Source organism: Homo sapiens, chromosome 12 (assembly GCF_000001405.40).
Source record: "Homo sapiens chromosome 12, GRCh38.p14 Primary Assembly".
Taxonomy (NCBI): domain Eukaryota; kingdom Metazoa; phylum Chordata; class Mammalia; order Primates; family Hominidae; genus Homo; species Homo sapiens.
The window spans coordinates 28,095,461-28,122,633 of NC_000012.12; the positions used below are offsets into that span (position 1 = coordinate 28,095,461).

Here is a 27,173-nt window from a genome sequence, read left to right on the forward strand (position 1 = left end):
TTCCCAGGAGTATATGAGTAAGGATGTCTTGTGCAAGTTTAGAGAAGCAACTCTTTTTTTTTTTTTTTTTGAGACGGAGTCTTGCTCTGTTGCCCAGACTGGAGTGCAGTGGCATGATCTCAGCTCATTGTAACCTCCGCCTCCTGGGTTCAAGCAGTTCTCCTGCCTCAGCCTCCCAAGTAGCTGGGATTACAGGCACTCGCCATCATGTGTGGCTATTTTTTTTTTTTTTTAGTAGAGATGGGGGTTTCACCATGTTGGCCAGGCTGGTCTTGAACTCCTGACCTCAGATGATCCACCCGCCTTGGCCTCTCAAAGTGTTGGGATTACAGGCATGAGCCACTGCACCAGGCCTGGAAAAGCAACTCTTGAGCAGAGGGACTACAGAAAAAACATAAAGCAGTTTTGGCTTTGGAGGAATTTAGGAAGGCAAGATGAGGATACACAAATCACTGCAAGTGCCTATTGCATGAGTATTAATTAGCAGTGCCAATAGCATATTTTAGGTGCTCAATAACATACATTATAGTCCAATATGAACATGTTGTCCATCCTGCATAGAAAAGCCAAATAGTTTTCAAAAGCACGGTTTGTACTTTTAGATTTTGTAAGCATCTATTTTAATTAATTTAGTCTGTTTGTCCTTGCATTGTCAGAACTCAAGTTATTCTTTGTTTCCTCTATCTCCTTCTACTCCAAAGGTAGCAAAATCAGTTAGAAGAAACTTCCTGATTTCTCTCTCAGAAATGAAATCTAGATCCATGTGGACTGGGCTTGAGAGTTAACATCTGAGTGCATCCTCACACGTTATAGTTATATATTCCTTCAGTGTGAGAACTGAGGTGGAGACTACTGAGAGACTCCGGACTGCATCTGTGATTTGCAAAATGTTTTCAGATATCATTCAACATTATATTGAATTCATGTGTAGAAGTAAATACGACACTTAGTTTATCGATGCAGTTTTTGTGTGTGAGGCAAATGGAAAGGAGTAGTACATCATAGCTATCCCCATCTACAAGGAATCCTGACATTTCACCAAATCTCTTCTTGCTGCACTTTTTTTATTGGTTTTTTTTTTTTTTTTTTAACAGTTTTCCTTCTGATTCTATAGAAAGGTGCTGATGAGAAGAAACAACAGCAGCAGCAACAACTTCCCTTCTTTATTATAACAAAACTCAGAACCTCTGTCCCTGACTTTTCAGTTGGGCTGCTGTGCCAAAGGAGCTAATGGGCTCAATAAATATACCCTTTGAAACTATCTCCCTGTTTTAATGGAGGGGAGTGTTCAGTTCTACTGGAAACTGTTGGCCCTGGCAATAGTCCATCTTATACTTTGGAAATGCAATAGTACTCTAAGTGAGAGACTCACAGAGGAAGAGGGAAAGCCAGAGAGAAAGGCTAGAAGCTGTTTGATCAGCTGCCTCTTTCCACCTGAGGTTTTCCTTCCAAAGTGAACCTTGGAGATTTATAGATATTTCACTTCAAGATAGCCACCACCACCACTACCGCCACACTACCCAATCACTAGGGGCCTTCAGCTGTTTTTTTTCGTTTGGTAGACAGGTGAACAAATTCCTTTTCTTTTCTACTCATTAAAGACAATATCAAACATTTTCTTAAAGTTCTTGCATAGTAACCTTTTGCCTACACCAATAAAAAATCTACTAGAAAATTTAAAACGTACCACAACATGAGTTTTTCAGTACTGATCTCTTATCAAAATGTACTTAACATCAGTTTCACATTATAGTTTGTTTGGAACACCTAATGGGACACTTGGATTTTAGTTTCTTTCCTTTGCTTGTGTTTACCAGCAGTTTGGACATCAATCTTACACACACCAGTATGGTAGCGAGCTTCTGGTTATCCCCACTGCACGCAGATTTGGTGAAATCCTTCCTCTGCCAATAGCAGCTTTCAGTTTTCCTGTTCTCTGCATGTGAGCTCTCTGGTGGTTGCCTTCATACCAGGTTTCCCTGCCCTTTTGCCTTCTATTTCCTCAAGGCTCTGTGAGAGCTCCTGCTCCCTGAATGCAGAAGGAATTTCTGGATTTTTTTTTTCAAATATTTCTCTCCTGGGCTTAGGAGGGAAACAATTCTCTGCTCAGCGTGGACTTAGTCCACTCAGCCTATCCCAGGGATCTTTACTTGGCACTCCCCCTGCAAGTCCCTTTCACCTCTTCCACCTCCTGCAAATAATTCTTCTTGTCATTGACTGTTTCTCTGTACTATTAAAGATGTCTGTGGTCTGTTCAACAACTTTATGTCCAGGCTGGTTCTCTTCTTGAGTCAAGCCAATTTAGCCCCTGGGACTGGTTTCTCTATCATCTCCGTGGTCTTAAAGGCTGCCATCATCACCAGAATCCTGTTTTTTTTCTTATCACTGCTGCTCCAGGATTGACTGAATATAATCAAGATATCTCAAAGGTCTGCACCCCAGGGAATCTTCCACTTCATCATCTTTTTAGCTTCTGTGTCCAATTCATTTTTTGACCTTCTTAGCTAAGGTTATCAGCTTCATTAATCACTCCAGTACTCTAATCATTGCCTTATTTGTGTTTTTTTCCTTCTTTTTTCAGCAGGAAGAAAATTTAAAATTTAAAATAGAGTGCATACAGTAATGACAGTATATACAGTATATACAGTAATGACAGTATATACAGTATATACAGTAGTAGGTGTGACTTTCCCAATGGGAAAAATATTTGCAACTTTCAACACATTATATTTCACATTTTTGGTGGTACTTTGCAAGAGACTGATCTAATCTGATAACAGAGTAAGTGGCTGGATCTGAATGTAAATCTGGATGCATTTATGTAGAGGAAGTAATGAGAACTATATGAGCAAGGAGTTCATTAGTGCAAATATAAAATTTTAAAAAGTGAGTTAGTGTTAAATTATACAATAATTTCTGGCTTAGATAACTTCCATTGTAGTTTATACCACTTCAATGTTTACTGTTATAATATTTATAGGGTGATAAAGTACATTATTCTCATTTAGAACAAACTTCATAGTGAAAAGTAAATAGACTTTTAAGTCAAACAGACCTAGATTAAAAGTCAGTTCTATTTTTTGCGAGATGTATGCACACATATAGGTTAACTTCATTCTTCTCAGTCTCCATTTCTTATCTGTAAATAGGGGTAATACTAATACCTGTATTGAAGTTGCTCTTGCACCGTTTAGATTAAAGTACATTAAGTGATAAAACACATGTACAATGCCTAGGATAGTACCTCATACTTAGTGACATTAAACAAATAGTAGGTACCATATTAAAAGATAACTAATGATTTAAATATGGGTGGGACACCTCTACGTGTATATTTGCCAAGACTTTTTGTTTCTCTAATCCCTTACTTTTGAGTAATTTTCAGTCTACTGAGTGCTAAGATTCAGACTTGATATTTTTATAGCATATTAACTAGGTATATTTTCTTTTGGAGGAATTTGCTCCTTTCTAAATATGGGTATTGAGTTAGAGTTTAGATACAAATTTTGATTAATAAAATTACTAATAATTTATGCTTTTGTTTAATAGTTATTAGGGATAATATATGACCAGAGAAAATTTCTTCATTTTCCTGAAAATTGAAGAATTGATTGACAAAATTAAGAGGAAACTTGACCCCTACTTAGAAGCCTGATATCTCCTTCTAAAGTACAAATCAATAATTATTTAGTAAGTGGGGTGTATTAGTCCATTTTCACACTGCTGATAAAGACATACCCGAGATTGAGTAAATTATAAAGAAAAAGAGGTTTAATGGACTCACAGTTCCATGTGGCTGGGAAGGTCTCACAATCATGGTGGAAGGTGAAAGACATGTTTTATATGGCAGCAGGCAAGAGAGAGAACGAGAGCCAAGCAAAAGGGGAAACCCCTTATAAAAACATCAGATCTCGTGAGACTTATTCACTACCAGGAGAACAGTCTGGAAGAAACTCCTTCCATGATTCAAGTATCCCCCACCAGGGGTCCCTCCCACAACATGTGGGAATTATGGGAGCTAAAATTCAAGATGAGATTTGGGTGGGGGCACAGCCAAACCATATCATGGGGGTAAATATACACAAATAATTTGAGTAATTAAGTTCCCAAGTTGAGTGGCAAGATGGTAGAAGAAAAAGAAAGGAAATAAAGTAGTACTTTAAAATGGTAGGTATTAATTAATTTTTCCTTACCTAAATATTTCAAAATGGTTGTCTACATTGGAAACATTCTTTAAAAATGTTCCTTTAGCTATAAACTTAGTAAAGGAAGAGTCCAAAGTATTTTTCCTATCCTTGTAAGTATGTATTCTCCCATTAGCTAAGAACAAGAGATAATTTATGCTGGGTGAAGAAGATACAGATTTGATTTGCTAAGGTTTATGTATTTCTTGGGAGATGAGAAGACTGGTTAAAATTTTAGTAGAATGATAAACATACTAAACTCCTTTTTAATGGCAGTTATTTCCAGTTTCTATAGCCTAATTTTGTCAGTTACTGTATTTTAGCATAATAGGGTCTTGCTTATGCCACAAAAAAGCATTATACATGGAGCCATGTTATAGCAATTTCCTTCTGGTGCTTACAATAACTGAATCTCTTTGGATGGGATCCAAGAATAAAAGCTCGCTATTCCAAACTTCACACCAGGGTGGGTAGTGTTATAATGAGACTCTGGTGTGCATGCGATGTTTTTCTTTGTTGACAGTTTTTGAGAAGATCTTGATCTCCTGGTGAGTAAATTTACCAAACCACTCACCCTTTAAAAAATTCAGAATTTATTTCTTGCCTCAGAGGGTAATTTCTGGCCCCAAAGGTAATTTTTTTAGAGGATTATTTGCAAGTTCAATTAACTTTCTTCTTTCCTGCTCCATCCCATGCCAATGCAAGAAATAGAGAACTTTAAGGTTTTAGGATTAGTAGTTCATTATACCTGCTGGAACATGTAATGTATAGTGATGTTGGTACTATCATTTCCATTTTTAAGGAAGGAAGGTAAGGTAGGAACTCAGAAAGATAAACAGGTGGGCAAAGTGTTGTCACCTCAAGTCATATCTTGTGTTAATTGCCGTAGTAGCTTTTCTTGGACAAGCTATTGCTCAATGTTTGATGTTGTTAGGTTATTTCATTTAAATTTTATTTATACCTAAAATAAGCCACAGGGTCATTGTTTTTATTTTTGCATTTTATTAAAAAAATTACCTATTAATTCTAATGGCTTCTCAGTACATTGTACTCCTCTAAAATTGTTCACATTGGATCAGAATTCTAGTTGTTTTTTTTTTCTGTCCTAAAACAGTGATGTGAACATGTCAAATGACTTAGTGGTTCTTCTGGCATCAGTAACTGAAAAATTTGAATGCTTATCTGAACTTTATCTGAACTATCTTGAGTTTTCTTGGGTCTATAAAATTGGAACTGAAATCTCATGGAAACTGGCTTTCTCCAGAAATTTTTGGTGAGCCAGAAATACTGTGAGAGCAGCCTTTCCCGTGGTGTTTTGGCATTTTTACTTTGGCCCCAGACAGAACCAGGAAGTTCAGAGGTGAATGAGGATGAAAAATAATGAAATGGTAAGTGATCTTTTTTTTTTCTTCTTCAGAAAGATTCAATTCAGAATTCTTTTAAGAAAATGTTGAGTCAGTCTTAACAACTACAGACCTCATACTATGCATTAAGAGAGATTTGGGACGCCATGAGTAATTCAGCCCCTCTAGTAAAGAAGAAGAAAATTAAAAATTACCATTTCCTCTCATGTTTCACACTATTTACTAAAACATTTTTGTGGAACTGCAGATTCTATAAAATTATTGGTCAGTTATATTAGCGTATATTCCTTGTCTGTAGTGATAGCATGGCAGATACTTTAATGAACTAATATCAACTTTCCTTAGTATCCCTTAATTCAAATTTCTACCACCAGGCAGAGTACATTTCTATAGATTCTCATATTTGGAGGTTTAGAATCTATTATTAGAGTTTACAAGAGTTTTTAGCATATGGATTTTCACAGATTGTCCTGGAATCCAAGTTTCTATTTGTAAGCCAAATCATCTAGAAGGTACATTAGTTATTTTCCCAGAAGCATCCTGAAGAAGAGGGGCTTTCTTGTTTATTAAGACAGTAGTTGTCAAATCTTGGTCTACCTATGGCACTTTTAAAAAGAGACATACTGGCCCGCACCCAGTCTACTAAGTCAGAATCAGTGAGGGCTATAGCCTATTGGGCTATATTTTTATTAAGCTCCATTGGTGATTTTTATGTGCAGCAAAGTTCTCATCAGGTATCACTGATTTAAATGGTCACTTACATGTCATAAGCTTTTCACCAGGTTGTAAAAGACAATTCAAAAGACACTTCTCAAAAGAAGACATTTATGCAGCCAAAAGACACATGAAAAAAATGCTCATCATCACTGGCCATCAGGGAAATGCAAATCAAAACCACAATGAGATACCATCTCACACCAGTTAGAATGGCTATCATTAAAAAGTCAGGAAACAACAGGTGCTGGAGAGGATGTGGAGAAATAGGAACACTTTTACACTGTTGGTGGGACTGTAAACTAGTTCAACCATTGTGGAAGTCAGTGCGGTGATTCCTCAGGGATCTGGAACTAGAAATACCATTTGACCCAGCCATCCCATTACTGGGTATATACCCAAAGAACTATAAATCATGCTGCTATAAAGACACATGCATACGTATGTTTATTGTGGCACTATTCACAATAGCAAAGACTTGGAACCAACCCAAATGTCCAACAATGATAGACTGGATTAAGAAAATGTGGCACATATACACCATGGAATACCATGCAGCCATAAAAAATGATGAGTTCATGTCCTTTGTAGGGACATGGATGAAATTGGAAATCATCATTCTCAGTAAACTATCGCAAGGACAAAAAACCAAACACTGCATGTTCTCACTCATAGGTGGGAATTGAACAGTGAGAACACATGGACACAGGAATGGGAACATCACACTCTGGGGACTGTTGTGGGGTGGGGGGAGGGAGGAGGGATAGCATTAGGAGATATACCTAATGCTAAATGACGAGTTAATGGATGCAGCACCCCAGCATGGCACATGTATACATATGTAACTAACCTGCACATTGTGCACATGTACTCTAAAACTTAAAGTATAATAATAATAAAAAAAGAAGAAAAATATACAAAAAAATGGCAACTTATATTTATATAAGCTTTGATTACTTCATCTCATACATTATTCTCTGCAATCCTTCTCAAAAACTGTGCATAGAGGCTATCACTTTCATCCTCATTTTATGGTGGAAGGGACTGAGACTCAGAGTTTCAATCATTTGCCCAGTTATGAAGTGATAGAGTTGAAACACAAATCCTGCTTTTCTGTCTTGAAGCTCTTGACTTGTAACATATAACACTGACGTACTGCAAGCAGGAAAAGGAAGAACATTCATTCCTACTTTAAAAAAATGATTTAAAAAGAACTTACAGTGAATAACATTATAAACAACAATAACAACAAGTATTTGACAGACACATATTCCTGTAGCAGTCTGTTCTCGCACTGCTATAAAGAAATATGTGAGACTGGGTAATTCATAAAGAAAAGAGATTTAATTGGCTCATGGTTTCACAGGTTGTATAGGAAACATGGCAGCAGCTGCTTCTGGGAGGCCTCAGGGAGATTTTACTCATGGCGGAAGGCAAAGTGGGAGTAGACATCTTACGTGGCAGGAACAGGATGAAGTGAAAAAGCGGGGAGGTGTCACACGCTTTTAAACAACCAGATCTCACCATATCTCACTCACTCACTGTCAGGAGAACAGCACCGAGGGAATGGTGCTCAACTATTCATGAAGGACCCACCCTCGTAATCCAATCACCTCTTACCACACCCCACCTCCAACATTGGGGATTACAATTTGACATGAGATTTGGATGGGGACACAGATTCAAACCATATCAATTTCTAAATGCCTTAATTATCTGGAAAGACAGAAGAGTAATTTGAGGATACTGTCCACAGATAGCTTCTGTCAGATACCTATTCCAATTTGTGGGTGTTCAGTGAATGCTTGGTGACAGACTATTGATGTGAAGTTTTTGTTCTCTTTGCAAACCTTTGCAAGTCGTAGCAATTAGAGTATTAATTGCCATTGCTGAGAAGTATTCATCTGCCTTGCTAGCCATTCAATTAATTCCATGTTCATTTTTGCATTAGAGGCTTGGAAGACCAAAACTTATAAATATTTACGTTACAAAATAAATATTTATAAATTATAATAAATAACAAATATAAATATATTATATTCCTGTAGTGCTCTAAAAATCCAAAGTTTATGAGCATCTAAAGAGTTTCAAAAGTTTTGATGAAATTAATGCCCCCCAAAGAGTCTTACTTCATTGTTTTTGCTGGCCATATTTTAAAAGCCATTCCCTTCCAGTGAACTAAAGGACTGGACTTTGAATAAATGATGGCCTTTGGATCAGTCTGTCCGCTCTGTGATTTGTACAGGATTGGCATCTATTGCCCTGGCCTTCATCTCAGACATTCATTTGGAATGCAGTCACATAGGATAGGGCAGGGGCAGGGAGCATGCCGGGGCAGGGAAGAATGATTTTCAAGCTGTAAGATAGCCCCCTGAAAAAGTTGATCCTGAGATGAAAAAAGTAAGATTTGGCTGTGATTAAAGTAGAAGTGTGTAAGATTACTGAAAAAGCGTATAATGGTTTCAACAAACTACCCTTAGGCAGGTTTAGTGAGTGTAGTTGGCATTCATACAAAAGATAACCTAACCTGACACTAACCCTGCTAGTAGTTCAGGGATAATATTTTCACTAGGATGAACTGCTCTTGAACTGTTTCTGTAATTTATTTGGTGCAAACAGGCTTTCCCTTCAACATCAGACATGCATGTCTTATGGCCACCCATTTGTTTATTGTAAAAACATATTTATTATAGCCAATGCAAGCAAAACCCTCCTTTCCAGTGGTGTTTTAATTCCCCTGAAGCCTTCTCATACTGTGTACCACAGCCCTGATGATGAAGTATACGCAAGCTTGTTCCAAACCATGTCCCATGTTTTCTTTGGCCTTACCTTCAAAAATCTATTGCTAAAGAGCAACTCCTAGTGTTTTATGACCTTTTTACCATGATGGTGCTTATCCTTTGGACTTGAAATGATTTTCCTTCTCTTGATGAAAATGTCAAGTGTGCCTGAGAACCTGGCCAGAAAGTGGACATTGGGTTACGTAGTGAGAATGGAGAACAGCTGCCTGGATATAATAGAATAAGTATGTTTTAGAAAATCACAGGAGTACAGTAAAGTAAGGAGTATAAAGTAAGGAGTATGTAAGGAGTAAGTAAGGAGTATAAAGGAAGGAGTATAAAGTAAGGAGTATAAAGGAAGGAGTATGTTTTAGAAAATCACAGGAGTATAGTAAAGTAAGGAGTATAGGAGTATCAGTTGGTAGAATCTATGTAAAGAACTACAATGTATAATCAGTTTCATCATCACTGTTACTAATATTTATCCTCCATGAAGTCATAAATACTTAGCCTTTGGACTGATCCTGAAAGTAAAGGAGACTTTGGATGGTTCTAGAGATGATGGTCCCTATGGACATTAATTCATTCCCAAAATATTTTCTTGAGTAGCTGCTATGCACCAGGCAGTAAACAAGAAAGAAAAAAGAAGTATAATTTTCTTCACCAAATCCGCTTATTTGTTTTCCGTCTGTGACTACCCAATCCCCAATTTGTGTTAGTGAAACAACTAGTTTTGGGTTCCTTCCCAGTCTTTTGAATGCCAACCATCTTTTTGGTGCCAAAAGAGTCCAAAGACCTAATGAGCATTTTAGATCTCATTTATGAGCATGATAAGAAAAGGAAATGAGGAATGATTCATCTGTTCATCTGGCCAAGGAACATCTTAGAGTTGAAGTGATTCTACGGAAGAATTAACACTAGATTGTTGCTAGCACAGGTGGCACCTTTTTGTAAATGGGAAAAAAGTGCCCCTTCCTCATGACTTTATTTCAGTAGAGAATATTGCCATAATAAATATGCAAATCCATGACATCTATGATGTGAATGTCATTCTTAGATATTTTTCCTTGTACAGTGTATAACCATGTGCAGTGATTCTATAAGGCAGCTTTATCAGCCAGTTTGGAGGGAATGTAAACAAATTGAGGCAATACATCAACATTAATATGTATTCTCCTAACAAGGAACATCTGCTGATAGTATTCTGTCACAAAACATTTCCAATAAATCTCTCCTTTTATACAGTTCTCTCCCAAGCACATATCTAGCTGGGTACTTGGGTTTATCTCTAGTATTTAAACAAAAGCTATTTTTTACTACCCTTTATCACTAATCACCCTTTCCTCTCTTTGTAAATTTCCCTACAATTTTTTCTCAATTGAATGCTCTGCTTCTGTGATTAGTCTAATTTAATTTTGCATCACAATTCCAAAGCTCTCTTACTCAAAATCAAGTGGATGAGAAGTCCATGAATTACCTGCCCACAAAGCACTAAATCACTGAACTACATATCTAAACAGTGTTTGTGTCATGGGAATCTAGAGTCACAAAATGTCAGAAAAAAAAATAAAAATTTATTTTCCTGCTTATATCCTAAATATACTTTCTATTACATTTGCCACATGTTTACAAGGCAGAAAGTAAATGCAAAGTAAGTTAGTGAGGCCCCATCTTCTTTCCTAGCTTCAACATCTGGTGGCAAGAAAACTCCATATCTAAAACTTTAGGTTGGTTTTATACTCAGGCACCCACCTCGTGGAATTTGGTAAGATAAAACTGAGTTCGTTTCTTAGAATTTGGTTAATTTCTAAGAACACGTTTTGTATAATAAGACCATGTTTATTCCAACCCAAGACCTATCTAGAATATTCTAATGCATGCAGTGGTACTTACTAAATACATGAATCCTTCAACTATCTGGAGACATTTGCATAGTGTTCCATAGTACCTATCAGTTAGCACAGTCATTTGGGGAGAACTGAGGGACAAAACTAGCAATGGTTCTCGTAAAACTTTATCCATAGAAGTTAGGATTTGGAAAGTCTGGCTTGTTTATCTATTAACCATTAATTGGTTAGTTCTGTAATATCATGAGACCAATTGCCATCCTTCACTTCTTTGTTTGCTATCTTTTCACTAGTCCCCATTGATTTCTACTTTAAAAATCATACTTTAGTCTGTAATATGGTTATTCCAACCCATATCGTGGGATACTGCTACTTATCAAAGGCTATTATACATTAAATATATCTGTCTTCAGTTATTTGGACAAAATAAATGTATGTATGTGTACAGTAGGGATTAAGAGATTCACTCCAAAAACCCTAAGAGCATCTGTAAAAGAAGCTTAAGGGCTGCAAGGGGTTAAGACAAGGAACCCAGCAGGAGAGACTCATGGAATTGTGTTCTTATTTCAATCAGAAGAATTTTTCTTTTATGCGTCTAATAACTTGGATTTACTTATAAGATTTCTATTAAGAAAAGATTCAACAACTGCCATGAATTTGAAAGCCATTTGCTTAGGAAATGCTTTGCCATATAATCCTTAAGTAATTACCGTATAGCTTCCTTATTCTAACCTTTGCCTCCAACTAAATTCTTACCTCTTCAAGGCAGGCATTGTGTCATAATCAACTCTCCAGCTGGAGCAATGAGTCTGAAACAAGTACACAATAAAATTATTAAAATAATTGTATAATTGTATTTATATACACTGAAAATAAGCCAACCATTTTTAATACGGTTTCTAGGGATATTAGTTAGATTTAGACTGATTAAGAGTGGCCTGAAAAGAATAAGGAAATCACAATTGTAAAATAGATAATTCTCAAGGAACAATGATTTTAAAATGCTTTAGTGAACGCTGGAGAAAGGACACCCTATTCAATAAATAGTGCTGGGAAAATTGGATAGCCATATGTAGAAGAATGAAACTAGAGTCTTATCTCTCTCACCACATACAAAAAATTAACTTAAGAAGGATTAAAGACTTAAATGTAAGACTGGAAACTGTAAAAATTCTAGAAGAAAATCTAGTAAAAACTTGTGGACACTGGACTAGACAAAAAAATGTATGATGAAGACCCCAAAGCAATAGCAACAAAAAAAAAATAGACAAATGGGACCTAGTTAAACAAAAAAGTTACTGCACAGCAAAGGAAATAATCAACAGACTAAACAACCTACAGAATTGGAAAAAATATATTCAAACTATACATCTGACAAAGAACTAATAACACAAGGAACTCAACTCCACAAGAAAAAACACAAACAACCCCCGTTAAAAACTGGGCAAAGGACATGAACAGACATTTCTTGAAAGAGGAAATACAAGCAGCCAACAAACACATGAAAAAATGCTCAACATCACTAATCATCAGAGAAATGCAAATTAAAACCACAATGAGATATCATCTTCCACCAGTCAGAAAGGCTATTATTAAAAAGTCAAAAAGCAACAGATGTTGGCCTGGATGCAGAGAAAAAAGAACACTTATACACTGTTAGTGGGAATATAAATTAGTTAAATCTCTATGGAAAACAGTGATTTCTCAACGAACTAAAAATAGAACTATCATTGCACCTAGCAATCCCACGGTTGGGTATCTACCCAAAGGAAAATGAATCACATGTAAAACAGACACCTGCACTCATGTTCATCACAGCACTGTCCACAAGAGCAAAGTTATGGAATCAACTTAAGTATCCATCAATGGTTGACTGGATAAAGAAAATGTGGTACCTAATACACCATGAAATACTACTCAGCAATAAAAAATAATGAAATCATATCCTTTGCAGCAACAAGAATGGAGCTAGAGGCCGTTATCCTAAGTGAACACAGAAACAGAAAACCAAATACTGCATATTTTCACTTGTAATTGTGAACTAAACAGTGAGTACACATGGACATAATGATGGAAATAATAGACACTGGGGACTCTGAAAGAGAGGAGGATGGGAGGTGGCCAAGGATTGAAAAACTACCTATTGGGTACAATGTTCACTATTTGGGTGATGGGTGCACTACAAGCCCAATCCCCACCAGTATGCAATATACCCATGTAACAAACGTGTGTGTACTCCTTGAATCTAAAAGAAAATAAAATTTAAAAAATAAAAAGCTTTAATGAATGCCTGGAATGGCTCCATGGCACTGTCTTAAAGTGGCATTTCATGTTCTGAAGCAGTTGATGACTCTAACGGCAGTGATATATTGTCTCTGTGGGTGAGGGTGAAAAAATAGTTTTGGGATGTGTATTTATCTGTACATGTGCAGTCTGAGTGCAAATGTGTTGTTATCAGACTCTTTTGTGGTATTCCTGTGACCTGGGCCAAGTTACTATGTACAAAAACAAACCACATTGGTTTCCAGTTGCCCTCAAAAATCAGAGAAGGGTAAGAGAGAATTGGTGCAGCTGTGGCAACAACCTTATTACAACCTTTTTGTGAGAGAATAAGGGTATCTAATGAAAAAATACCTGGGAAGTTTGAGTACAAAATAATTAGAAGCTATGAATATCTGGGTATGGGATTTTTCATTTAGTAGGAAATGTGTAGTTGGAAACTTTCCGTGTGTGCATTTGTTGATTAGTTATTTTTTCTTCAAAATCTGGGTATAAATTTAAATCTCTCATTTTTACTAGTTTAACTAGAATTATTGAGTTCTAGCTTTAATGTTACCTTGGGCCAATATGCTTTAATCATCTGGGGACCTAGCATTCAATCCTTTCCAGCACAGATTACTTGATGGAGAATATCTAAGTGTTCTTGGGAAGCATTAATCACACCCCCATGGCCTCCCATGAAAAATTTGCTAGAAGCCCAAACCAATATTTAGACTATTGACATTAATTCTGTCCCTCTCCCTTTCTAAGGTGGTGTAGTGTAACTTTTAAGATCAAGTTTTTATACAAGCAAAAACATTTTCAGATTTCCAATAATTTTATCTTTCATTTTATGCCAAAGATATAAATTTACATCCAGCATTTGCTACAATCACATGGCCCTCCACAGCTATGCAAGCAAGCAGCCAGCAGAAACAGGAAGTTTAATAAAACCCTATACTTCTATAAAATGTAGTGTGATGTGTCGTGAACTTGGACCTCCCCCTACAAAACTGATAAACATTTTCTTTTTAAAAGTTGCCTATTATCCTAAGTATATTTAATTCCTTAAGTGACTAAGGGAAAAGACACTTCCAATAGTTGCATTCTTTAGTATGAAAATATATGTGGTATTTTTTCATCATTAGCTGATGTGCTATTTCAAAATAATACCTCTTTATATCAGCTTACCAATTTCAAATACAGCATAACTTCTATATAATGATCTTTATAGTAATGTGTATATATTGGAATGAATTGACATTTCATCTGCACATTATACATTATCATGTTTTTGCTTGTCATAGAGAAAAAATCTTTTCACAATTTTCATTGTGACATTTTATTGAACATATAAATATAAAATTTTCTTACCTATAGTTCTATATTAAGAAGTGATAATTTAGAAAACTAATATGATCCTGAAATATGTGCTAGAGGTTGTAGGCAAGGCTGTAAGCTGCTCTTTATGTTTTGTAAAGACTGTGCCCTTACTTCTAAAATTTAATTGAGCAGGATTGAAAATAAGTTGTTGATAGTCATAAAGAAATAAATATAACTAAAGAGTTAGAAATGAGAGCAGTGAAGAAATTAAGAGAGTATTTAAAGTTATTGATCATAGAAGTCATTGTTAAAATTTGAATACATGATTTGCAGTTTTAAAATAGGTGTAATCAAGATGTTTTTTCCTCTCCTCTTAGAAATCACCCAAATCAATAAGAACAAGAAACAAAACCTAAAGCTAGAACTTAGTTCTATGACAGGAAGAGGGCCCTCTAACTCTGAATCCTAGCAAAGGAAGAAGGCTGCCAGATCTTCTGAAGTAAAACAGGGACACAGGCAGATGCTGAGAGAAGACTCCAGAGGGTACAGATCTCATTCAAGCCTGGCGAAGCCCAGCTCTTCTTTATCTGGGTCAATATTACTTATGTTAGAAGTATAGTCTAATAGCAAGAGCTTCCCTGGACCGAGTTTGGTAAAAAGAAGAAGGGGAAGATAAGGCCGAATGAGGAAATACAAACACAAAGATAAGTCATATTACCAGGAAGCAGTCTACTGGTACAACAGGTTAGAGGGGAAAGCAGGCATTGAGAGAAGCCCTGAAATATCAACTTCTGTTAGCTAGGGAGAAGTAACCCTGTACTCACACACTAGTATCCCAAGGAGAATTCCTGCCAGTCTAGAATATAGCCCTCACCTCCCTCAAAGTATCACACTATAAAGAGCTACTTCAGGAAGAAGTAACTTCATTCAAATAGGAGGTGATTTTTTTTAAAGAACTTACATAGAATTATCCAAATATGATATAAGGAAAAAAAAAGAAAAGGAATGGCAGGTAATAAACCCTCACCAGATAAATATTTCTACAGAGTTCTTTAAAAACTGTGAGCAAGTTACTTACCATGAAATTTTAAATGTTAAGAAGTTAATGCTTCTATAAAATAGGAATTCTAAGCATAGACACGAGAATGTAGAAAATAGGGTGAGGCAACAGAATACAATGAAAATTGGACTGGCAAGCTCAAAAGAAGTGAAAGGGAAAAATAAAACCATCATAAAAATAAAGGCCATGTTTGAAGCAGCACACAGAACAGACATACTAAAAACACAGTAAGACGTATGGAATATTATAAAGGGAGCAAAATAGAATAGAAAGTTAAAAGGAGATTTAAAAAATTAAGAAGGAAATGATAGATGTGGAAAACAGATATGAAAGATCCAATATACAGAATATCGAACTTAAAAAGAATGTTGTCCTCAAGAACATAAATTGTGGAAGAAGAAAAATATTTAAAGATGTAATTAAAGAAAAGTTTATAGCAGTATAAGTAGCCTCAGATGTGTTGATTGAAGGAGTGCACATAGCAGGGCCTTAAAAAAATAACTTTAAACAATGAACACAGAGACATATTCTAGTAAAGTTTCTGGGCTTTAAATATAAAGAAAAAATATTTGGGCTTCCATTCAAAAAGATAATAAGTTTATACAAAGAGTGAATACTAGAACAGAAAAAAGAAATACTTTCAAAGATCTTTTTAAAAAGTATAAACTAAGAATTTAATGCCTATCCAAATTTATTTATTAATGGGAGAAAATTCTCTGGAAGAAAATTTTTAGTCAACCAAGAACTGAATGGAGAGAGGGAAAAAAAGTACTGGAATGGTACATTGGCTCCATTTAACTGCCAAACCCAAACTTAGAAAATGCAAGGGAGAGTATATTTGTCAGTATAGATTTAAATATTTAAAACACTGAAAATGTAAACCAGCAACTAACAGAAAAGACAAACTTAAACTTGTTAAAAGACAAATGACTGAGGAAAACATGCTCAGTCTCACTAATAAGAAATGAAAAAACAGTGATATACCATTTTTTTAACTTATCAGATTAACAAAGATCAAAGAGTTTGAAGTTATACAATTGGTGAGAAAGTGTGGGACATATAAACTTTTATACACTGCTTTTGGGAGTATAACTTATGGAAAACAATTGTGAAATATCTATAAAATAGGAAGTGCCTATAATCTTTGGCCTACCAATTCATTGTTAGAAAATTATTCTACAAAAATACTCCAATGTTTGCAAACTACTTATGTCCAAGGGTATTTATTTCAGTGTTGTTGGTAATAGCAAAATATTGAAAATAACCCGAATGCACATCTTTATGGGACTAATTAAATAAATTTTATAACATATACAACGAAATACTATGCAGTCATTAAATATAATGAGGCAGCTCTGTATGTAATGTTATGAAGCAATCTCCAGAAATATTAAGCAAAGTCTGTATAGAACAGTTCAAGAAGTACATGGCAATGATACATAAAAAATAATGAGACAAACAAAAAGACATAGAAAGTATCAAACACAGGATAAACATCTCTGTGAAAAAGAAATTCAATAGAATGAAAATGACAGAAGTTATGGGCCTACTGGAATCCCAGATTAGAAGCCCATTCCAGGAGATGGCATAGTTTAGGAGTTGAATGTGACCTGTGTAAGATTGCCTGGGGTCAAATCTTAGTGTGTCTGTGCATTAGCCATATGAGACAAGTCTCGTAGCTTCTTAATGAGATGAGTTGAAGATATTGTAAAATATACAGCATGCAATTATTAAACAAAAGACAGCTGCTGTATTAATATTAGTATCAGGCTAGATAGAATTTATAGCAAAAAGTACTAATAGAAAGGAAGACTTACATCACATAGTAATGAAAGTAATGATCCATGAAGAATGTATGTTATGAACTTCTATATAGTTAACAACATAATTTAAAATGATATTCAACAGACAAAATATAAAAGGGTTAGAGTTGCTTCAGCTGAAGAAATTTATGTAGCTCTATACCCCCCAAATAAAAATATACATTCTTTTCAAGTACATATGAAATATTAATTTTGAAAAATTGATCATGTTCTAGGTCACCAAGAACTTCTCAATAAATTATAAGATATTAGTGTTATACAGACCACATTCTGTGACCACAATGCTAATTGTGGTTTTTGCCATTGAAAGTAATGGCAAAAACCGCCATTACTTTTGCCACTGAAAGTAATGGCAGAAACCGCAATTACCTTTGCACCAACCTAATAAATAAGAAATCAACATTGAACAGTGGTTTTAAAGAATCCATATATGTTTGGACTTTAAAACATATTTTATGCTTTAGGAAAATATTTAAATATAAATAACAATGAAAATAATACTGAGGGATACAGCAAAGTACATGATGGCAAAAATAGAACCTTTAACAGAATTAATGAAAAGACTTAAAATAAATCAGTTAAGTGTTAAACTCAGAAAGTTAGAAAAATAATAACAAAGAAAACAAAAACATATATCTACTCTAAGGAAATAACAAAGAACATAAATTAATAAGTAGAAAATAAACAATAGAGAGAAATAATAAAGCTAAAAGCTGGAGCTTTGATGAAAGCTTCCTGAAAATAAAAAGGACAAGTAATTGGTAATAAAAGGAAACAAATATAGATATTACAGATATTACAAATAATAGGAACATACTGTGCCAATAGAAAATTTAGATGAAATGATAATTTCCTAGGAAAATAGAAGTTACCAAAATTGACTGGAGAAAAAATAGAAAACATTAATAAACCAATAACTATGAAATAAATTAAATTGTTAGGAGTCTTCTGCCCCCAAACAGTAAGCCAAGACAGCCTACATGTGTGTTTTATCAAACTTTCTAAAGATAAAAATCTGCTCTTTTATAATAATTACATTTCAGATTTTAAAAAAAGAAGAAAAGCGGCCGGGCACAGTGGCCCATGCCTGTAATCCCAGCACTTTGGGAGGCTGAGGCAGGCAGATCACCTGAAGTCAGGAGTTCGAGATCAGCCTGACCAATATGGGGAAACCCCATCTCTACTAAAAATACAAAATTAGCCAGGCATGGTGGCTCATTCCTGTAATCCCAGCTACTCGGGAGGCTGAGGCAGGAGAATCACTTGAACCTGGGAGGTGGAGGTTGAACTCCGTCTCAAAAAAAAAAAAAGAAGAAGAAAAGCTGGTTGGCTTAATTTGTGAGGCTAATATGCTGTTGACACGTTGACACTCAAACTAGGTAAGGACACGATAAAAAGAAAACTGTAGCATAATTCTTATGTGAATATAAAATCAAAAATTTAAAATAAAATATTAACAAATTGAGTTCTTTTATGTATTAAAAATACACATCATATTCTAGTAGTATTTGTTCTAAGAATGTAAAGCTGTTTTAATGTCAGAAAACCTATCAACCATATTAGCACATAATCAAATCATAGATGCAGGAAAATGCAGAAAAAATAATAAAATTGATGCATTTATTTATTTAACAAACACTGATTTAGTGCCTACTATGTGTTAGGCATTACCTCGGGCATTGGGGATATAACATCTAAATAAATGGAAAAATTCTCTGACTCATGGACTTTGTATTCAAGTGGGTGAATCAGAAAATAATCAAATAAACAGAAAAACTGTATAATGTCATGAGGCAATAACTGCTCCAAAGAGCAACAAAACCAAGTAATAAGATAGAATGTGATGAAGCATGCTACTCTGAGCAGACACCTGGCTGAAGTGAGGGAGTGAGACACACATATTTTCAGTGAGAGAGCACATCAGGCAGAGAGAAATGTGAGTGCAGTAACGACAAGACAAGATTTTGCTTGGATCAAGGATCAAGGAAGAACATTTAGAAGCCTGCTTGGCAGGCATGAGGAGCAGTGATGTGGATGGCAGGGTTGAGCAAGAGAAAAGAGATGAGATGGGAGAGATTGCTAGAACTCAGATCATGTGGGATTTTGTATCCCAAAGTAAGGACTTTGGATTTTATTCTAAATGTGATGGGAAAACTTTGGAGGGTTTTCAGAAGAGGAGTGACATGATCTGGTTTGTGTATGTGTTGCTTTTGTTTGTTTGAGACAGGGTCTTGTTCTGTTGCCCAGGCTGGAGTGCAGTGGTACAGTCTTGGATCACGGAAGCCTCAACTTCCTGGGCTCAAGCATCCTCCCACCTCAGCCTTCTGAGTAGCTGGGATTACAGGTGCACGCCATCACACCCGGCTAAGTTTATTTTTTTGTAGAGACGATGTCTCACTATATTGCCTAGGCTGGCCCCGAACTCCTGGACTCAAGCTATCCTCCCCCACCAGCTGCCCAAAATATTGGGTTTACAGGTGTGAGCCACTGTGCCCTTCCTGATTTGTCTTTTAAATAACCTCTCTGGCTAATATATAGATAATAATCTATACTAGGGTGAATATAATTGATATGAATCTCATGAAGATGAGACTAGGTAAGAGGGAATGGCAGTATCTCAGATGAAATTACTTGGCGGCTTGTACTAGGGTAGTTGCAGTGGTAAGAATGATTGAATTGATTTGTGGATATGATACGTTTGCAAATATATTAGTTAGGGCTATCCAGAGAAAGAGAACCAATGAGAGAGACAGAAAGAGAGAGAGAGAGATAGGTTTATTATAAGGAATTGGCTCATGCGATTACGGAGCCTGACAAGTCCCAAGATCTGCAGTTGGCAAGCTGGAGACTCAGGAAAACTGATGGTGTAATTCCAGTCTGAAGGCTGCTGGCTTAAGACCTGGGAAGAGCCAATGTTTTAATTTGAGTCCCAAGGCAGAAAAACACTGATGTCCCAGTTTGAAAGCAGTCAGGCAGGAGGAGTGACCTCTTACTTGCGGACGGTTAGCCTTTTTGTTCTATTTGGGCCTTCAGCTGATGAGATGGGGCCCATTCACATTAGTGAGGGCAATCAGCTTTACTCAGTCTACTAATCCAAATATATCAGTTGCATGCAGAAACACCCTCATAGACACACCCAGGAAAATGTTTGACCAAAATGTCTTGATACCGTGTGGCTCAGTCAAAATAGGAAGAGTACCTAAGAAAGAATATCTATGAGAAAACCTAGAGATATCACCCTTTAAATGTGAAATTTTAAGTGTTCCTAGCAGCAAGAAAAGGATACTACTATAACTACTTGTGGTCAGTAGTATGTTGAAGCTCTCATCTAACGCAATTCAAGAAGAAAGGGATTAAGTGATGTAAGATTTGAAAGAGAAGCAATAAAATTGTTCTCATTTTAAACAATGTTATTTGAAACAAAGAAAATCCAAGTGCTTTTCAACTACTGGAATGAATAAGAAAGCTTCGGAAGTTTATTAGACTCAAGTCAACATACCAAAATGATTGTCATTTCAACAAAACAATAATAACAAGCTACAAAATCAAATAGAAAAAAACCTATAAAATACCTAAGGATAGACCTAATATATGATGGTTAAGATGTCTATGGGGAAAATAAAATGTTTTTGAAGAACAAAAATAATTAGATACAGAGATACACTTCTACATTCATGAATTGTAAATATGTTAGTCCCCTCCCCCACAATATTCTAGAAACTTAATAACATTTTAACCAAAATTCAAAAGAGACTTTATGGAACTTGACAAGTGAATCCTAAAATTAATATGGAAGCACAAAGAATCAGGAAGAGTCAAAAAATCTGAAGAAGAATAAGCTGGGGGCAGGGTGAAATTGGCCTGACCAAATACATCAAGAATTTATAGAGCTATGGAAAAGCAGACAGTGTGGTATTGGCACAGGAAGAGTCAAATAAACCAAAGGAACATAATAGAAAGCCCAGAAACAGATACTTGCATATGTGCAAACTTGAAATATGACCAACGTGGCACTATAAGTCTGTGAGGAAAGGCAGGACTAGTCAATAAATGGTACTAGAACAATTGCTTAACCATATGGAAGAAATAAAATAAAATTGGATCCCATTCTCACACCATATACAAAAATAAATTCCAGATGGATTAAAGATCTAAATGTTAAAACAGCTTTTGGTAAAACAAAAAAAATATATGGACTATCTTCATAACGTTTATATGTGGAAAAATTTCTTAGACAAGACACAAAAAGTAGAGCAAAATGTTGGTAAATTTGATGACACCAAGATTTTTTTTAAACTCTTGCGTTCAACAAAGATACAAAACATAAAGTGAAAAAATAAACCATATCCTTTGAAAAGAGATTCACAACTCATATAAATGCTAAAGAATAAGCAAAATGTGAACAGGCAATTCAAGAGATAAGTAAATGAATAATAAACATATGGAAAGATCCTCACCCTACTAATAATTAGGAAGATGAAAAAGAACAGTTAGACATCATCTCCACTTGGCAAAATTTAAATTCTAACAGTATCAAGAGTTGTTATGGTTTAGAGTAACAATAGCTCTCATATACTGCTAGTAAGCATGTGAATTGGTACCACTACTTTGGAGAGCAATTTGAAATATCATAAAGTTGATGATGTTCATACTCTCCAACTTAGCAATTCTACTTCTAGATTTAGAACTTTAGGAAAAGTTCATATGTGCAGAAGGAAATTGGTGTAACAATGTTTATTGCAGCATGGTTTCTAATGAAAAATATTTAAAAACAGAAATGTCATTTAATAAGATATAGATTAGGAAATTGTGATATAGTCATATAGTGGAATTCTATATAGCATTTAAAATGTGCACTAGAGATGCTTGTGTGAAGATGAATATCAAAGAAGTAAGATGACTGAAAAAGCAAGTTGTGGAATGATACATTCAGTAATATACTATTTATGTAAACTTTTGATACCAGCAAATATAGGCACATTATGTAGTACTATCTACATTGATAGATATATGTGTCTAGTAAATATATAAATTATCCATGGGTCTTATAAAACACTAAATCTATGACTATGGTGGGATGGCAAGACAATAATGAAATCAGGAAGGAATACTCAAACAATCTCAACCGTATCTGTTAAGTTTTCAAAAAACTGGAGCAAACATTGGCATTTTCTTTTGCTTTCATACAGCTGGGTGGTGAATAGATGCAAGGGGATTCATGTTTTGCTATTTTCAGCAGAGGGCTGCCCTACCTCAGACAGAACTATTCACATCATAGTCAATGTGAAGGGTATCCTGTGGAGCTGTGTCCACAGCCTGCCTGGTAATATGAAGCAGTATGTTCTCATTTGTGTGTTTGAAATGTTTCAACATATTTTTTTAAATTTAATGAGGTGAAAAAGCAAAGCGCTTCACAGAGTGTATAGTATCCTATTATTTGTTTTATACATTTATGCTTTTACAGGCATACCATCTTTCTGGAAGAATAACAACAAATTGCTACCAGTTGTGCCTGTTGTGTTTGACGGACAAGGCAATGAGAGAGACTTGTATTTACTGTATGCTCTTTTGTGGCCGTTGACTACATTATTCATTTTTAAAATAAAATAATATCAGGTCAGCCATGGTGGCTCATGCCTATAATCCCAGCACTTTGGGAGGCCGAGGCTGGCAGATTAATTGAGGCCAGGAATTCGAGACCAACCTGGCCAACATGGCAAAACCCTGTCTCTACTAAAAATACAAAAATTAGCTGGGCATAATAGTGCGCACTGGGTGCGCCCAGCTACTTGGGAGGCTGAGGCAGGAGGTGGAGGCTACAGTGAGCTGAGATCATGCTACTGCACTCCAGCCTAGGCAACAAAGAGAGACTCTGTCGCAAAATAAATAAATAAAATAAAAAATAAAACAAGTACAAAAAGTATTTTTACTATGTACTTTTATTTTGTACTCTTCCATAAATTCTTTACCTGATAAGTCAACCCTCCCCAGAGGGTTCCCAATGTAATAACTTAAGAAAAAGTTTGAGTTTTATGTGTGTGTATAAATAAACATGTATATGTTTCAGTATCTTTTTTATGTTTATAAGCCCATATATATGTACACACGCAGTCATGTGCCACATAATGACATTTCAGTCAATGACAGATGGCATTTATAATAAGATTATAATGCAGCTGAAAACTTTTAACATTGTAGCATAACATATTACTCGTGTTTGTTGTGATGCTGGTGTAAACACACCTGTTGGGCTGCCAGTCATATAAAGTGTAGCACCTACAATGATGTACACTTCCTAGTATTTGAAAACGATAATAAACCACTGTGTAACTGACATATGTATTTACTATACTGTACTTTTTATCATTATTTTAGAGTGTACTCTGTCTATTTGATATATAAATATATAGTATGCTTATATATAATATATAGTAAAAATATATATGTATATATAATATACAATATAGCTATATATTTAAATATATATCTAATGTCACATATTATATATTATATATTATTTTTTATATATATAGTTAACAGTAAAATAGCCTCAGGCACGTCCTTCAGGTCCTTCAGGCAGGTCCTTGCTATCCACAAGAAAGCATTGTTATCATAGGAGAGGACATCTCCATGAATGTTATTGCCTCTGAAGACCTTCCATTAGGGCAAAATGTGGAGGTGGAAGACAATATTGATGATCTTGACCTGTGTAGGCCTAGGCAAATGTGTATGTTTGTTATTACAAAGGAGTCAAAAAGTTAAAAAAAATTAAGTTTATAAAGTTAAAACGTTGCAGTAAGCTAAGGTTAATTTATTATTAGGAAAGGAAAATTGTTTTTATAAGTTTAGTGTAGCCTAAGTGTACAGTGTTTATAAAGCCTACAGTAGTATGTAATAATGTCCTAGGCCTTCACATACACTCACCACTCACTCACTGACTCACCCAGAGCAACTTCCAGTCCTGCAAGCTCCATTCTTGGTTAAGTGCCCTATACAGGGGTACCATGTTTAATTTTATACCCTATTTTTTTTTTTGAGACAGGGTCTCCCTCTATTGCCCAGGCTGGAATGTAGTAGCATGATTTCAGCTCACTGCAACCTCCACCTCTTGAGTTCAAGCAATTCTCCTGCCTCAGCCTCCTGAGTAGCTGGGACTACAGGTGCGTGCCACCACAGCCCAGCTAATTTTTGTATTTTTAGTAGAGACAGAGTTTCACCATATTGGTCAGGCTGGTCTTGAACTCCCTAGCTCAGGTGATCCTCCTGCCTCGGCCTCCCAAAGTGCTGGGATAACAGGCGTGAGCCATCGCCCCCAGCCTTTATACCCTATTTTTACTGTACCATTTTTATGTTTAGATATCTTTAGATACCATTGTGTCACAATTGCCTATAGTATTCAGTACAGTAACACACTCTACAGGTTTTTAGCCTAGGAGCAACTGGCTATCCTATACAGTCTAAGTATGTAGTTGGCTACGCCATCTAGATTTGTGTAAGGGCACTTTACGATATTTGCACAATGACAAAATCACCTAATGACCCATTTCTCAGAATGTATCCCCATCATTAAGCAAATCATGATTGCGTATACACACACACACACAACCATACCAGTCCAGGATGGTTTCCAGAAATTGAGAACTGAATTGGGTGGTTTTTAAAGGACACAGGACAACAGTCCCACTTCTCCATGCAAATACAATCAGTATCTTCTGGCCCCTCACCTGGCTTCTTGAAGACCAGGACCATTACACATTTGTCTTTATATTCTCAGCATATGAAGCAGTGTTTGGTGAATGAATGAATAGACTAACACTTCTCAAGTTATTCTTTACATCTACAATATAATTGTCCACAGTCTACCATGTGTTTCCAGGATGAACGTTAAAGCACATCTGAGAAACCCTAACTATCCTCACGGAGGATGATTTGTTGGAGAATCAGACACTACAGTTTTCAAATTAAATATATTTCAATTAAAACGATGGAAACTGGAAGTACCAAAGTTATAAAACAATTTCCTATAATGGATATGTTCCTCTCAGTTGGGAATAAACTTAGAAGGTGAGGCTTGTCCTTGAAGGACTGTGGAGAAATTTTTAAATCCGAAAATAAATGAGCTGAACAGATTTCCCCTTCCTTCAAATTCTGAAGGCAAGCTACAGTTTTCATAAAGTACAAATTCAATACTGGAATTCACTGAGTTGAGTTTTTTTTGCTCCTGTTTCCTGTGTGGCATCAACTTCAGGAGCTTTATTAAAACAGTGTGTCAGAGGCCTTGATGACTTAATGCCCAACTGGGTTTTAAAGTCTTAATTCTTCATTCAAATAGTAATTAAACTCCAAAGCTTAACTCAGTCAAGACTTTTTCTTTCTTTCTTCGAACAGGTAGCATGCTTGTCATGGCAGGGGGTTCCTAAACTCTCTAAGCCCTGATTAAAATATTTTTTACAAACACGGTACACAATCACCTGATATTATGTAGTTGCTTTTTTTTTTTTAATCTCATGGTAAAAATGTAAGCTGATAAGAGCAAAACTTTTTTTTTTTCTTTTTCACTAATTTAACCTACCAATTAATTTTACTGAAGATCTGTTTCCTTGGAAAAGCAACTCATACTTACTATAGAAAATTTGGAAAATACAGGAAAATAGAAAGTATAAAATAAATAAAAGATCCATAGTCACTTAAAGATAATTCCTGTTGAAAGGTTAATACATTTTGTTTATTCACATTTAATCATTCCTGCATGCACAGATTTTTGGTTTGGGTTTTACATCATTATGACACACTACAGTTAGCATCAGTTTTTGTTTGTTTATTTTGTTTGTTTAAAGAAAATGATACAAGCTAAAAACAGTTCCAGGTCAGTAGAGCTGACCTATATTTTATTTTTTAAAGCAAGATCAAATAAATCCATTTCGGTTGCATTTTTTTTGGCATGGTTCTTGATTAGTTTCTTTGGTTCTTTCTGATGTAGGTCTTAAAAGCTACATGTTGTAGCAGAAAGAACAGAGACTTCAAAATTCTAGTTTCACCTCCTAGTAACTATGTCTTAGGTATGTTCTGTTTAACAAATATGTATGTGGTCCATATTTATACATTTTTTTCTGTATGACACATATTATTATTTAATCTGCTTGAAGCAATGTACTTAACTTCTAGAAACTTCTGTTTTCTTACTCGTAAAATGTTAATAATGTATTCTCCCTTGCAGGGTTAATGTAAGAACTAGAGAAAAAACATGAGAAGCATGTACTACCAAGTAAACATTCACTGAATGGTACCTATTTGAGTCAGTTAGAAAAATCCTCATAGATTTTAAACAGACTAGCCTCGAGTTACACAAATAAACACTATTAATGACAGAAATGAAAGTAGTAACTCCAAAGGATTAATTCACTGCTGAAGACAGTATTTTTCATGAATCAACAAAAGGGCTTCTGAAAGATTTCAGACTATCTAGTCTTTGCTCATGAATTCTGTTTAAAACAAGAAAGTTGAGCCAAAAGAAGCAGAAGAATGAGGAGGGGGGTAGGAGGAGGCGGGAGAGGAGGAGGAGGAGGAAGTCAGGAAGGGATGGATAGGTAGGGTGAGAGAGGGAGAAGAAAGAAAAAAGAAAAGAAAAAGAAAGAAAGAAAAGAAAGAAAGAGAGAAGAAAGGAGGGAAGGAAGGAAAGTAAGGAAGGAAGGGGAATGAAGGAAGGAAATGAAGGAAAAGAAAGAAGGAAAGACAGAAAGATGGATTTGACTCTGACAGGAAGATTAAAGAAGTATACGCAGTATGAATTGATTAGAAGAAATTCAAGTGTCTATAATA

The 27,173-nt window shown here is 35.5% G+C and overlaps 1 long non-coding RNA gene across 3 annotated transcripts in view; it reads right to left on the bottom strand.

The window, feature by feature from the left end:
- Nucleotides 1–27,173, bottom strand: part of LOC105369710 (uncharacterized) — a 66,878-nt gene that overhangs the window by 32,764 nt on the left and 6,941 nt on the right. For 2 of the 3 annotated variants that reach the window (XR_931461.3, XR_931462.3), the window contains exon 2: nucleotides 11,646–11,698. This is a non-coding gene — a long non-coding RNA (uncharacterized LOC105369710). Of the gene's footprint in view, nucleotides 1–7,135; nucleotides 7,418–11,645; nucleotides 11,699–27,173 lie in introns of those variants that run through there. The other variant, XR_931463.2, reaches the window with a different exon arrangement.